Genomic DNA, 14,825 nt, shown 5'->3' with positions numbered 1-14,825 from the left:
TCTGTCAAAATTGAGAAAGTGACCAAAGTGGGGAATTGTTAAAGCAAATTAAATATGGTCTGAGAAGGACTCCATACTTTATATTTGAGTCCTAGTGGACAAACTGCAACCTAACCTAGCACATAGACAAGATTGAGAACCTAACTTAGGAGTGTGCCCCTATAACAGTACTGGGTCTTGGCCAATCCCAGCAGCCATACTTCAACCACTCATACACTGTCGAATGTTCAAACTATGTTCAAATAAGGCAAACGCTGAGCTGTAACCAGTCCAGTTGTTTCTGTACCTCACTTCCTATTTCTGTATGTCATTTCTCTTTTTTTGTCTATAAATCTTCTTCCACGATGTGGCTGTGCTGGAGTCTCTCTGAATCTGCTGTGATTCTGGGGACTACCCGATTCATGAATCATTCATTGCTCAATTATACTCCTTTAAATTTAATTTGCCTGAAGTTTTTCTTTTAACAATCCCCAGTGCAAATCTCCTATAATTTGCAATGCCACCTCCCTTATTTGCTAAGTTTCCATGAATAGATAAGTCTGCATCAGGGCTTTTTCTCCTGTTCTGTGACGACTGGCTTATTCATCTGTCTATACATTATTTCATTGCTATGATTTATCATAGGTTATATACCATAGTAGGGTGCTTCACTGTAGTTTACATTTACTTTTTAAAATATTGCCCTAAATAATTGTGGATATTTTTTCCATATTAAATTTAAAGTTAATATTTGTAAAGTTTCTTCCCAAAATATTGGTATAAATTGACTTGAACTTGATAATTAATTCTGTGAGATTGGTGGAAATTGATATTTTTTCAATATTAAGTTATCCTGATCAAGAGTATAATGTTTTAACATCATTTGTTTACACATTCTTTTATGTTATTAAATAGAATTTCAACATTTTTTTCCCTGTTTGGATGAGATTTAATTTATATCTTCCTTCCTAAATTTTATTTCCACTTATTCTTGGTGTAATTGAAACAAACAATTGAATTTGTAAAGTGATCTTTTATTTGGCCATCTTACTGATTTTTCCTTTAGTTGTGAAAGAGTCAAAAACTACATAGGACTGAAGAGTGAAAATCGGCTTTGACTGTAAAAGCAAAAAGCAACCTGCCATTAATCAGGATGGGAAGACAGACACAGATAAAGTCAGCTGCAAATTTAACAACACTGTATCTCCCAAGGTCATGCTGCAGTTGTAAAATGCCATGAAGACACCACTTTGAGTGATTACTGGTTTCTCTCCAGTGAAGTCCCAGATCTGCTTTGCTTGTTTCATTAATTATAGGAGATATCCAATTGTTTAGTCACTCTCGCCACAAGACAGCAGCCAATCTCTGGTTAATCCCTGTGTCTTCAATTCCCTCTTTAAAAACAGCAACCAATCTTTTCTTGCTTTCCTTTGACCCTCCTCAGAATCCTTCAGAGGGAACCCAAGCCTAGCAAAAGTTGAATTTCTTCTCCCTCTTGTTTAACCAACATTTCATCTTTCTCTGAATTTATTCCTTGCATGCAAGCAAAAAAAAAAAAAGTGGATTTTATTAGACTGCAGGCTAATTAGCTTTAACAAACTGTAGTCACTTCTTTGATCATTCTGTTGGGGTTCTATGAAGATGCTCGAATATTCTGCAAAATTGTCTCATGCCTCTTAGCAATTTTCTTTCCCAAATGCACTGACCAGTTGGTAAACACTACAATGCTGAATCAAAGCAAAGGTACTGAACATTCTTAGCTAGCTCCCTGTCTTAAAAGAACAATGGTAAGAAACCTCATCTAATTTCCTATCTTAAAATAATAATAGTAAGAAACCTTATTTAATTTCCTATGATAAAATAATTCATCAAACTCATCTGGCTCTTGTCTTAAAGGAAATAAAATCTCAATGTTTTGTTATTGTTTTGTTTAAACATAATATTTGGCAAAATTTTTGTGCAGCCAGCCTTTGCTAAGACAAGAAATTGCTTTCTCAGTTTTGTCATTCTTATCTTGCTTTTATCATATATAGTAATTAACAAATGAAATTAATGATTAATTTATCTACTGAAATTTTCCTGTTATTTTTGAGCATTTTTTAATGACAAATCATCTCTGATTACCTGGAATGATCTAAACCATACTATGATGCATTATTTTAAAATACATTTACTGCATGTCATTGTACTTTTAATTTCCATTTCCTTGATGACTAATGATATTGAGCATGTTTTACAATATGCTTATTGGTCACTTGTATATCTTCTTTAAAGTGGAGTAAAGAGTTCATTTTACATTCCGCATATAATTTTTTTTGTATATATGCAATATATATTTCAGTCTCCCTGTTCCTGGCTTGCCTTTTCATTTTCTCAATAATGAGAAAACATTTTCAATTTTGATACAAATTTATTAATATTTATCTATGGCTTATGGTTTTTGTGTCATATATAAGAAGTATTATCCTAACATATGGTCTAATGATTTCTCTCCTATTTTTAATTACAGAAGATTTATAGTTTTTAGTTTTCCATTTATTTATTTGGGTTTTTCTTCGATAGGTAAGGATATACAGTTGCCCCTTGGAATTCATAGGGAAATGGTTCCAGATATCTTTGGTATCTTCCCAAAGATACCAAAATTTGAGGAAGCTCAAGTTTGTAATACAAAATCATGTAATATTTACATATTACTTTCCCAATAAAGTCTATTTTACATGTTGGGTGAATTTTTGCATTTGATGTGAGGTAGGGGTCAAAGTATATCCTTCCACATACACAATTTTGTTTAACATCTCTCTTTTGTAGGTTTCAATGTACAGATACTACACATTTTTCTTAAATTTATCTGTGCATGTTTTATGGGTTTTTTTAGCTATTGTAAATTTTATCAGCATTTTATTTCAATGTCTAGTTGTTACTAGTATATAAAAATATAATTGATTGCTATCGATCTTGTATCTTACAAACTTCATAAACTCAGTTAAGATATCAGCTTCTTAAAATAAATTTCTAAAAACTTGCTAGTTTTGTGTCTATAAACATGGCTTCACTTTTTCCTTTTCAAAATATTTTTCCTTTTCTTTCTTTGTACTACATAGGACCTCAATTATAGTGTTAAGTAGAAGTGGTAAGAGCAGACATCCTTGCTTTATTTATGATTCTATGAAGAAAATTGTCAGCCTTGGCTGGGTACAGTGGGTCATGCCTGTAATCCCAGCACTTTGGAAGTCCAAGGTGGGCAGATCACGAGGTCAGGAGTTCGAGACCAGCCTGACCAACATGATGAAACCCCATCTCTGCTAACAATACAAAAATTAGCTGGGCATGGTGGCACACACCTGTAATCCTAGCTACTCAGGAGACTGAGGCAGGAGAATCACTTGAACCTGGGAGGCAGGGGTTGCAGTGAGCCGAGATCATGCCACTGCCCTCCAGCCTGGGCAACAGAATAAGACTCTGTATCAAAAAAAAAAAAGAAAATTATCAGGCTTTTAACACTAATATAATGTTTGTTAATCAATTTTTACAACACCTTTATTAGGTTGAGGAAGTTCCTTCCCATTTCTAGTTTGTTTTGATGTTTTATTATAACTGTGTATTAGATTTGCCATTTTTCCCCAAATCTATTGAGATAATAAATTGTTTTTGTCTTCTACTCTATAGATATTGTGGCTAACATTGATTGATTTTGTAATGTTGAGCCAAATTTACATTCTTGGGATAAACCATATATTCATGAAACATTATAGTATTCATTTTTTTAATTTTAGATTTGCTAAACTTTTGTTAATAAATTTTGCTATTTTATATATATAAAGGAGAATGATTTGTACTTTTTCTTTCTTCTTTTCTATTCTGATTATCTGGTATTGCTATCAGTTGATGCTGGCCTCATAAAATGAATTAGGAAGCATCCTCTGTGTCTATATTTGGGAAGAGTTTACGTGAAGTGGTTACTATTTCTTACTTTAAAATGTTGGTAGAAATTACCACTGAAGCCATCTGAATTTTAAATTTTTAATAAAACTTTTTAAACTATTACTTCAATTTCTTTAATAGATATATTTGAGTCTATTTACATTGTTTATTTCTTCTGGAATAAGGATATGAATTTGTGTCTATCAAGATTCGCTCATTTTTACCTAAGTTACTGATTGTGTTGACATAAAGTTGCCAATTTTATTTATTATAATTTTTAAATCTGTAGCATCGATAGTATCTTCTTTTTCATTCTTAATATTTTTGAATCTTCTGGGGTTTTTTTTCATTATTTTGGCTAGTTTTATTAGTTGTATTGACTTTCTTTAAAAATTTATTTTTGTTTCAGTGATTTTCTCTATGGCTTCCTGTTTCCTATTTCCTTAATTTTTGTCTTTATTATTTTCTTTTCTTCCATACTTTAGATTACATTTGCTTTCTGTTTTTACCCTTAGCTTTGTAAAGTGTGACCATCAGTGATTGATTTTAGACAATTACTTTTGAATATAAACATTACATGCTATGAATTTTCCTCAAAGCACTAGCTAAACTGCTTCCTGCAAATTTTGAATTATTCCACTTTCTTTAGTTCTAAATGTTTTATAATTTTACCTTGTGATTTTTTCTTCGATCCATGAGTTATTGAGCTGTTTGAAAATGTAATGTATAATTTCCAAATATTTATAAGATTTTCAAATATCTTTTGTTGTTGATTTCTTGGTGAATATCACAGCAGATAGATAGCACAATTTATAAGATTTCAGTTCCTTAAATTTGTTAATACTTGTTTTATGGCTTGGAGTGAAATCTAGCTTTGTGAATATTCTATGTGCACTTGAAAAGAATGGGTATTCTGGTGTCATTGAGTGCAATATTCCCTAAATATTAAACAGGTAAAGTTAGTTGATAGTGTTGTTCAAATTTTCTCTAATTATTGATTATTTTTTGTTATTGTTCTATCATTTAAAGTTTTGAAATTTTTTACTTTAAATGGGAGTTTATTTCTTCGTTTATTTTGATAGTATTTTTGCTTTATAGATTTTAAAGTTCTGTTATCAAGCACATACAAATTCAATGTTTTTTGTATTAACTTCTTTGTAATTATTACATGTTTCTCTTTAGCAATATGTCTTATTCTGAAGTCTACTTTGCTAGATGCTAATATAATCATGCCAGTTTTTTAAAATTAGTATTTATATGGTATAACTTTTTCTATCATTTTTACTTTTCACCTATGTGTGCCTTTACATTTAATGCTAGTTTCTGGTAGAAAGCATATTTGGAGTATTTAGCCATTCATATTAATTGTAATTATCAGTATGATAGGTTTAAATCTAATATCTTTTTATTTGTCTTTTACTTGTTACGTCTGATCCTACAACATTTCTATTTAATTTTTTTGCCTTCTTTGGATTACTATTGTTTAGAATTATCTTAACTAAATCACTGGCTTATTAACTTATCAATCTTTGTTTTAGTTTTTAATTTTGTTGATTGCTATGTATATAATGTTATATATATATATATAAATAATATGCACGTTTTGTTTATCACAATTTAACTTTAAAAATTGTAATAATATGCTGCCTTCCCCCATCATAAAAAGTAAAAACCTTTAACTCATACAATTCCATATTCCCAATTCATGTGTATTGTTGTCAGTTATTTTAGTTTTAAATTCTATAAACTTCACATTACAGACAACTTTTATAAAAAAATTTATATTAGAGATGAAAAAACCTTCACAAGGTATTAAAGAATGACAGGGAATAAATTTATTGGATCACAAATTTATAAAATCCATGTTCAATATTTTAAAAATCCAGCTAAACTATTCACTGAAAGAAATATCCTTTAGCTCTGTACTGCTAAAACAGATTCTTATTTTGACACAATGTATTTATTTCCATCCCAATTGTTACTATGCCCTTCACAGTTTTTTCACACTTTAAGCCTTTCTTTACCACTTATGACACGTCTGTTACTTTTAAGATTTCTTTAAAAGGAAAGCTTGAAATTTAACTTTCACCTGAAAGTGTTTAGCCAAAAAATAATGACATCACTAACACATGAATCACAAGAAATAATGGAATAAAAACAAAAGTGGTATTGAGAGGTGACAGCGTGCTGGCAGCCCTCGCTCGCTCTTGGTGCCCACTCTGGCCGTGCTTGAGGAGACCTTCAGCCTGCCGCTGCACTGTGGGAGCCCCTTTCTAGGCTGGCCAAGGACGGAGCCGGCTCCCTCAGCTTGCGGGGAGGTGTGGAGGGAGAGACACGGGCAAGAACCGGGGCTGCACGCGGGGCTTGCCGGCCAGCACGAATTCCGGGTGGGCGTGGGCTCCGCGGGCCCCATGTTGGGAGTGGCCGGCCGGCAGGCAAGCCCCAGGTAATGAGGGGCTTAGCACCTGGGCCAGAAGCTGCTGTGCTCGACTTCTCACCGGGCCTTAGCTGCCTCCCCACAGGGCAGGGCTTGGAGCTGCAGCCCACCATGCCTGAGCCTCCCCTCCTCTGCTGTGGGCTCCTGCACGGTCCAAGCCTCCCCGATAAACGCCAAACCCCGGCTCCACGGCACCCAGTCCCATCGACCACCCAAGGGCTGAGGAGTGCGGGTGAGCGTTGCAGGACTGGCAGGCAGCTCCACCTGCGGCCCTTTGCAGGATCCACTGGGTTAATCCAGCTGGGCTACTGAGTCTGGTGGGGACTTGGAGAACCTTTATGTCTAGCTAAAGGATTGTAAATACACCAATCGGCACTCTGTATCTAGGTCAAGGTTTGTAAACACACCAATCAGCACCCTGTGTCTAGCTCAGGGTTTGTGAATGCACCAATCGACACTCTGTATCTAACTACTCATGGGGACACAGAAAACTTTTGTGTGGACACTCTGTATCTAGTTAATCTAGTGGGGAGGTGGAGAACTTCTGTGTCTAGCTCAGGGATTGTAAATGCACCAATCAGCACCCTGTCAAAATGGACCAATCAGCTCTCTGTAAAACAGACCAATCGGCTCTCTGTAAAATGGACCAATCAGCAGGAAGTGGGTGGGGCTAGGTAAGAGAATAAAAGCAGGCTGCCCGGATCAGCAGTGGCAACCTGCTGGGGTCCCCTTCCGCACTGCGGAGGGTTTGTTCTTTAGCTCTTTACAATAAATCTGGCTATTGCTCACCCTTTGGGTCTACACTGCTTTTATGAGCTGTAACACTCACTGCAAAGGTCTGCAGCTTCACTCCTGAAGCCAGCGGGACCGTGAACCCACCGGGAGGAAGGAACAACTCCAGACGCGCCGCCTTAAGAGCTGTTAACACTCACTGCCAAGGTTTGCAGCTTACCTCCTGAGCCAGCGAGACCACGAACCAATCAGAAGGAAGAAACTCCGAACACATCGGAACATCAGAAGGAACAGACTCCGGACATGCCACCTTTAAGAACTGTAACAGTCACCGCCAGGGTCCGTGGCTTCATTCTGGAAGTCAGTGAGACCAAGAACCCACAAATTGTGGACACAGTATCAATATAATCAGCAAATTATCTGAGAAGATATTTTAAACATTTCACATTTCTATAGTTAGCACAAGCAAGAATTATCTGGCACTAGGTTACTAAAATAATTGGCATTTTTACTGCCAATTTACAATCATAGCTTTATTCTTTAAGAAATTCATCTCTAAGAAAATGAAAGTGTTTATAAGTATAACATTTGTTATATCCAGTAGGTGGTATTTTACATAGTCAAGATGATAAGAGAAATATTTATAAAATTAGATAAACAAAATGCAGAATGTTGATTACCAGTATCTCAAAGACAAATCAAGGAAAAGAAATGCAAAAATTAGAAGTGCTCACTGGTTAATATTGCTTTGCTTTGAAAAAGTCAGAAATAATTATATTCCAAGAAATAAGCTATAATGCTAAAAGTGTAATTAATATTTTGTATCTTTTTAAAGCCAAAGCGCATTTTTTGCTTTAGAGAAGACGATTCTGTCTTTCACATGATTATTTTTTTTTTTGCCCAGAACAGAACCTCAGTTTAAGCCATTATTTGAATAATAGATTTAAAAATCTAACATTATTTTCCCCATGGGGTGTTTTCATTTTAGTACATAGGCCTTAAAATGGTAGACGACTAACTAGTTATAAAGGATTTGTAGATTAGCAAATGCTAATTTAAAATGACTGTCAACAGAGTCTAAAACTACACTCAAGATTAAAAATTACTAATATGATTCTTCTGTAAGGTCAGACTGCTTACTCAATAAGCTATCATACAAACCAGAGAAGAAACCATAGTGTGTTCTTTCAAGGTTTTCTCTAGTTGCAAAGCCTATTCTTTTCATCAGTCCTTTTTCAGTTGTTTGGCTTTTGCGATATTTTCTTGATGTTTTTGTTTCTTCTTTTGATCCTTTTTCCTGGCTTCAGTCATTTTGAACAGTTTCCAGGGATGTATGACATTTCCTAGGATCAGTGGAATAAGGGCCAAAATCAGTTCTAAAAAGCTGGAAGGGTCCTTTGCACATTATTCCACAACATACTCAGCCCAAGTCTTTATATTAGACATCTGTTTATTAGTCCTAAGAAAACATATGCTTGAGAAATAGCCTCTAATTTTTTTTTCTGGGATTACTAGTGAGACAATCAAAATTTCAGATGAGCATTTGTTGTTTGTTTCTCTTGTAGTTCTACCATATACTTCTGAGAGAAGGTTTAAATTCGCCTGTGAATCTCAATTTGGGGCTGAAATTTCAATTAGAGACCAAATGAAAGTGCCTCTCCTACTTCAGGAATAGATATTCCTTCATCCTTCTAAAAGGGGTAGACAGAGCTTGACCTGTGGACCAGACCTATTCAGCACCTGAAACTGCAGCTGGTGGCACTCCTGCCATCTGCACTCTCTCCTTTTTCTTTTTTTTTTTCCTTTCTTGAGTTTACCCCTTTGTTCACTCCTTTCCCTCCTTCAACATAGCCCCTCACACATGAGATGGTTTTCATTTCTAAACTTTGGCCTTCATGGCAGATGTGAGCCCCTCAGTCTACAGCAGACCCTGCAGGGCCTCATGATGCATAGGGTCTCTGGGAATTGGGCCTCATCTTGCCATGCAACATCTAATACCCTGGCACCGTGTCCACTTGCATTGAGCGCAGGGAGGGAACATGGCAACAGCTACTGGCAGCTTTCCCTATGTCATGTACTGAGCCTAGGACCCAGACCTCCACTCCCAGCTCACCTCCAGACTAGAAGCAGGAAGGTAGTTTGCTTTCATTTTGGAAAGGCCATTTATTTAGACACAGAATTCTAGGTTGACAATGTTTTGTTCACAGTACTCTAATGTTGCATTTTGTTTACTTTGCATCATTTCTGATGAGAAGTCAACTGCCATTCTTAACTTTATTTCTCTGTGTATCAGGCATCCTTTTATTCTGGCTACTTTAAAGTTTTTCACAGTAGAACAATTGGAGGTGCTTTGGTATGATTATATTTATTCTGCTTTTATTTGTTGAGCTTCTTAGAACTGTGAGCTTATAGTTTTCGTCAAATACGGAAAATTTTCAGCCACTACTTCTTGAATTTTTTTCTCGTTACTCCTACTTTTCATTTTTGGTCTCTACTTATACCGTATTTGACTGCTTAATATTTCCCACAGGTAACTGATGATTTTCGTTTTACTTTGTGCTTAATTTTTATAGATTTTATTTCTTTGCCTTCTAATTCACTTGTTTTTCCTTTTGTAGTGTCCAATATGCTCCAGTGTCTAATTTTGGATTTTTTTCTTTAGGAATTCTATTTTTGTCTGTTTTTTTATATTATCTTTTCTCATCATGTTTGTAATTTCCTTTATATTCTTGTCATGTGGAACATATTTCTAATAATTATGTCAATATTCTTTTCTGTTACTTTTATCATTTATTTATGAGTTTGTTTTTATTGATTTATTTTTATTCCAGTTATAGATCATATTATCCTGCCTCCTTGCATACATGGGAATGTTTTATTGTGTTCTAGATTATGTCGTTCATGTTGGACATTTTTGTATTCCTTTAAAGAATGTGGGGCTTCGTTCTGGCAAGCAGTTATGTCACCTGAGATCTGTTGATTCATTCAGGGTTTTCTTTTATGTTCTGGTAATGCTTTTCAGTCTTTTTTCCTAGAAGAATCAGTCCTAATATTGAGATGAGACCATTCTAAGAATTCTATCTAATGCCCCATACTTATGAGGTTTCTCTACTATGGCTGGTAGTGGCACAAACTATTACTATTCTTATATAAGGCCTAGGAAATTGCTGTCTGATGGTGCTATCGTAGACATTTTGTATACACAGAACATTACTTAGCCAAAGTCTTATAGAGACAGGCTGCAGATCTGCAGCACAATTTCTCTGTTCATATTCTTCCTTTCCATTACCCCGTCCCACAGCTCCTTGTCCTACCTGAAATCCAGTGTCCATTCAGGCAGAGATTGAGATTGGTAGGCTTTATTTGGGTTCCTGTTCTTTATGCTGCAGACTGGAAACCGGTTTGGGAAGTAAGTCTGGAAATAAGCTTGCTACGTTACTTTTCCCTTTCCTTGAGGATCAGAGTCTTGCTCTGTCAAAAACATCGGCTGGTTTTGTAGTTTTATAGGAAATGTAGTTCCCATAATGGCTAATCCTTTACACTGGCAAACAGTGGAATTAACTAGCTTTTTGGTAGCCTGTATGTCCTTGTTTTGTTTTGAAATAAATAATTTTAAGCCTTATTACATGATATGACCAACTTTCTTGTTTTTAAATATTTTATGTAACTTGTATATCTTATCACCAAAAATTTCCTAGAATGTACCTCTTAAGCCATGTGGGACTGATTTATTTGTTTTTGTTTTAAATCATCATTTTAATTTTGTCCTTAATAGGAACATTCATATGAATTGTTTATCTGCTTTTGTACTGTATATACATCTTCCATCTTTTTGTTACACCTTGCCAAAGTTTTGCCTATTTTATGGTTTTTTTCTCTAATAAACCAATTTTTAAAAAATATTGTATCTTTAGAGCTTTACTGAGCTCATTTTTTTCTATTTCATTAAGAAATAAATGGCAATTATTGATCATTATCTGTACCCTACCTTCTTAGTTTGGGTTTATTCTTTTGTACTTTTCTAGCTTTTTATATTTCCAATACTTCTTTTCTGCTAAAAATATTTTTAAATGCTTTAAAATAAAAAGAAGAGCAGAAAAATTGGAAACAATTATGAATAGGCAGTTTACACAGTGTAGAACCACATAACTTAGAGATGTGTTGAAACCCTAAACTTTCTAGTGATTGAAGAAATTACGTCATTTTATTTCTATTGGGTTGCCAGATATTAGGGAGTTTTATAATTTCCTGAGTCAACAAAGTATGGGGCAGGAGAACAAGGATCCTCACATATTACTGATGACTGTTTAACTTGGTGCAGCTATTCAGATTCTGACAATGTTTAGTGAAATTAGGAATGTTTCTGTCATGAAATCCAGGGGCCCTATTCACAGATATATTCTGTAGAGAAAATCCTCTGGAATATAAACTCATTTGAGGCCAGGGCTTTTTGTTTCTTTTGCTCACTGATGTATCCTATATACCTAGAACAGTTCACAATGCTTATTTGGTACTTAGTACATTTTTGTGGAATTAAATAACATATACAGTGTTACAAATAGATATATATGAGAATGTTCGTTGCACATGATTTGCAATAGCAAAGAAGGCTTCATTAGATTTATTACTGAGGGAATGGATAAGCAAAATGTAGCGATAGTATTCAGTGGAATTCTATGCTGCAAAAAGGTAGGAATCATATAACAACATGGCTAAGAATGAAGAGTAAACATCAGTACAAGATCAAAGCACTATGTCATTTTAAAATAAGAAAATACATATAAAATAGAACTTACTATTTGAAGGAGGCATGCATTTGAAAGTAATACATTAAAGCAATTAGAGTTGGATAATAAAAATAGATATAATAGAAAACAAGTTTAGAAAAATAATAAAATGAAATGAAACCACAAAGGAGCCTTGCATTGACTGATGGAGGGGTGCTGTATGTGTCAGGTCTGCATTATGTCTCTGAAGTCCAAGAAAAAAACATATGCACTAGCACATATCATTTTAACTTGTTTTGCCTTTTTTTTTTTTTTTAAACACAGCCTTGCTCTGTTGCCCAGGCTGCAGTGCAGTGGCATGATTATAGCTCACTGCCAGCCTCGAAGTTCTAGGCTCAAGCAGTCCTCTCGCTTTAGCAACCTGAGAACCTGGAATTTCAGGTGCACATCACCACACTTGGCTAATTAAAAAAAACATTGTCTTATAGAGATGGGATCTTGATATGTTACCCAGGCTGATAATTCTTGCCCTCAAGCAATCCCCCTGCGTTGGACTCCCGAAGTGTTGGGATTGTAGACGTAAGCCATGGTGCCTGGCCTGTTTTGTCTTTTTAAACATACAATTCAAGTTACTAATGACACAGTTTTTCAAGAAGGCTTTAGATTACAAATTTACTCCTTTGCTAAGTGAATTGATGCTATGCCCCAAACCAGGAATTTCTTTGAGCTTAATTTACAATTAACAATCTGGCTTGCCAGCATGCGCCAGACAGACCACCTGTTTGTTTAGATTATACAAATCTGGCATTGTAAGCAGTAGCATCATTTTAGAAAATAATTGAGGGACTGAGTAGCCATGGAAATAATACACAAAGAGGATATATACTACATATTTGGAAGTAACTCGTTAAGTCAGATTGGTATCTAGAAACTGAAAGTCATCACCACCAGCAATTGCCTACTGGCCATTAGCACACGTGAGGTAACAGTGGAGCCCACCCCTCCGCAGCTGAGCTGGAGTGATGAATATGGGCTATCATGGTGAGGCACCGTCCTCGAAATGTGCTAGGGGAGGAACATAGCTGGCTGGAAGGAGAGCAGAGGCACAAAGAGAGGAAGTGAATGGATTGCTGTGCTTGAACTCCTCCAAGAGGTGTAGAAAAGAGACCAGAAAGTGAAGTACAAGGGGAAAAAGGAAGAAGACAAAAGAGGGTTTATTTTAAAGTCTCTATTCAAAGATGCAGTTCTCTTTTCAGATAAGCACAGCAGTTACAAGAAGTGTGTTTGTCTCTTACCTATAAATTTCACACTGCTCACATCATTTTAGAGAGTGGCATTTTAAATGAAGCACCCACATTTTCTGTTAACAATAATTAGGGGAGAAGGAGTTTGGAAATTGATGGCAACGTTTCTGTTGTTTAGTCAGACTAAAGATTTTGTTTGTCTCCACCTACAATTTTTACCTTCGAATTATATGTGTTTATGATTTATATACAGATAATCCTAACAAGGATTAGAAGTGATTACATCCTTGTGTTGTATCTTCTAGGATAAAGTGTAATATTTTTTACAGTATTTTCTTATGATTCACACCCTATTACTTTAATAAAACCTCAACTGTAATACAAACCTTACACTCAGAAGAATGAGTGGACCTCAGAAATCCTATAGCATGCCGAGTATACAGTATGGCAAGTATAGTTATAGCAATGGATTGTATGCTTCAAAGTCGCTAAGTGTAGATTTTTAGTGTTCTCACCACAAACAATAAGAATGTGAGGTAATGCATAAGTTAATTCGCTCTGTTGAGCCATTCCACAATGTATATATATTTCAAAACATCATGTTGTATACCATAAATATATATTATTCTTGTCAATTTAAAAATTATTTTAAAAAGAAATCCTTTATTCTAATCATGAGTTTCCCTTTATTTGTTTTTCATAAGTACACAAATATATTTTTCTAGTGAAAATTATAACAAAAAAAGTAAGCCTAAGGGACCTCAATTGAAAAAAATCTTAGGCAGTTGTGGGGATTTATGGATCTATACCCAATGGTGGCAGCGGTGGCCAGAACCTAATACCCTCTTTGCGTACACCTTGGAACTTCCACAATGTTGTTTTTTGTTTGTTTGTTTTTCCCCCTCAGGCTCTCTTTTTAAGGTTGTAAGGTCACTGCAATGGCTTTAGCTTTCCTCCTTTCACTTTGATATTTTACAATAGCTTTTTAAGTTTCCGGAATTGAGTTTCATTTGTTTTGATTTATGGTCTTGAGCCAATCACTGTTTCCATGAAACTAGAAAACACTGATTGCTTTTGGTCTTGTTTACATGTTTCAATCTTGGATCGGGGTGTTCAGTTCCACCCAAGCATATTGGTTGACAGATGGAGAAGTTTCTCCAAAAGCAAATTCATGTACTTTTAAAAGGTGTAATAGATGCAGGGGAGTAACAATAATAGATGTCCACTATTCACTCCTTTGATGACTCCTTCCAAATGCTGATTCCCTCTTAACTCCCTGAAGTATTACTGTCTCAATTTTTGTGTGGTCATTCATCCAGCCATTTTTTCTGTTCATTTACATAAAATATTTGCATACAAAGAGAAATATTTTACTGTATATTTTAATTCTTATTTTTATATGCATTTTTACCTTAAATGACGGAACATTTTCTTCAATGCTTTTTACACTTTATCTTGGAGACCTAATCCATGTTGGTACATACAGATTTACCCCTACAGTGTATGCACATGGAGAGCTATCCAAAGAAAATTAGTACCCGTGGATCTACCTTAACAACTACTGGTAATTTTATATAATATGCAGTCTATGGTATATTTAGTTATATCTAACAAAAATGCATTTATCTACTACTCCATTAATGGGCACTAAGGGTTTTTCTCTCTCCTCTCCCTCGCTCTCTCTCTCTCCCTGCTTTTAGTATAAGCAATGCCATGATGAACATTTTTACATAAGTACATATGAACATATTTCCTTAGGGCAAAACTTATACTGAGAAATGGCAT

At 35.1% G+C, this 14,825-nt stretch overlaps 1 pseudogene; it reads right to left on the bottom strand.

Moving 5' to 3' along the window:
* Positions 1 to 7,982: 7,982 nt before the first annotated feature.
* On the bottom strand, positions 7,983 to 8,515 carry LOC107986889 (small integral membrane protein 15-like; annotated as a pseudogene).
* Positions 8,516 to 14,825: the final 6,310 nt, after the last annotated feature.

Source organism: Homo sapiens, chromosome 8 (genome assembly GCF_000001405.40).
Source record: "Homo sapiens chromosome 8, GRCh38.p14 Primary Assembly".
NCBI lineage: Eukaryota > Metazoa > Chordata > Mammalia > Primates > Hominidae > Homo > Homo sapiens.
This window is presented reverse-complemented; position numbering and strand designations above follow the sequence as displayed.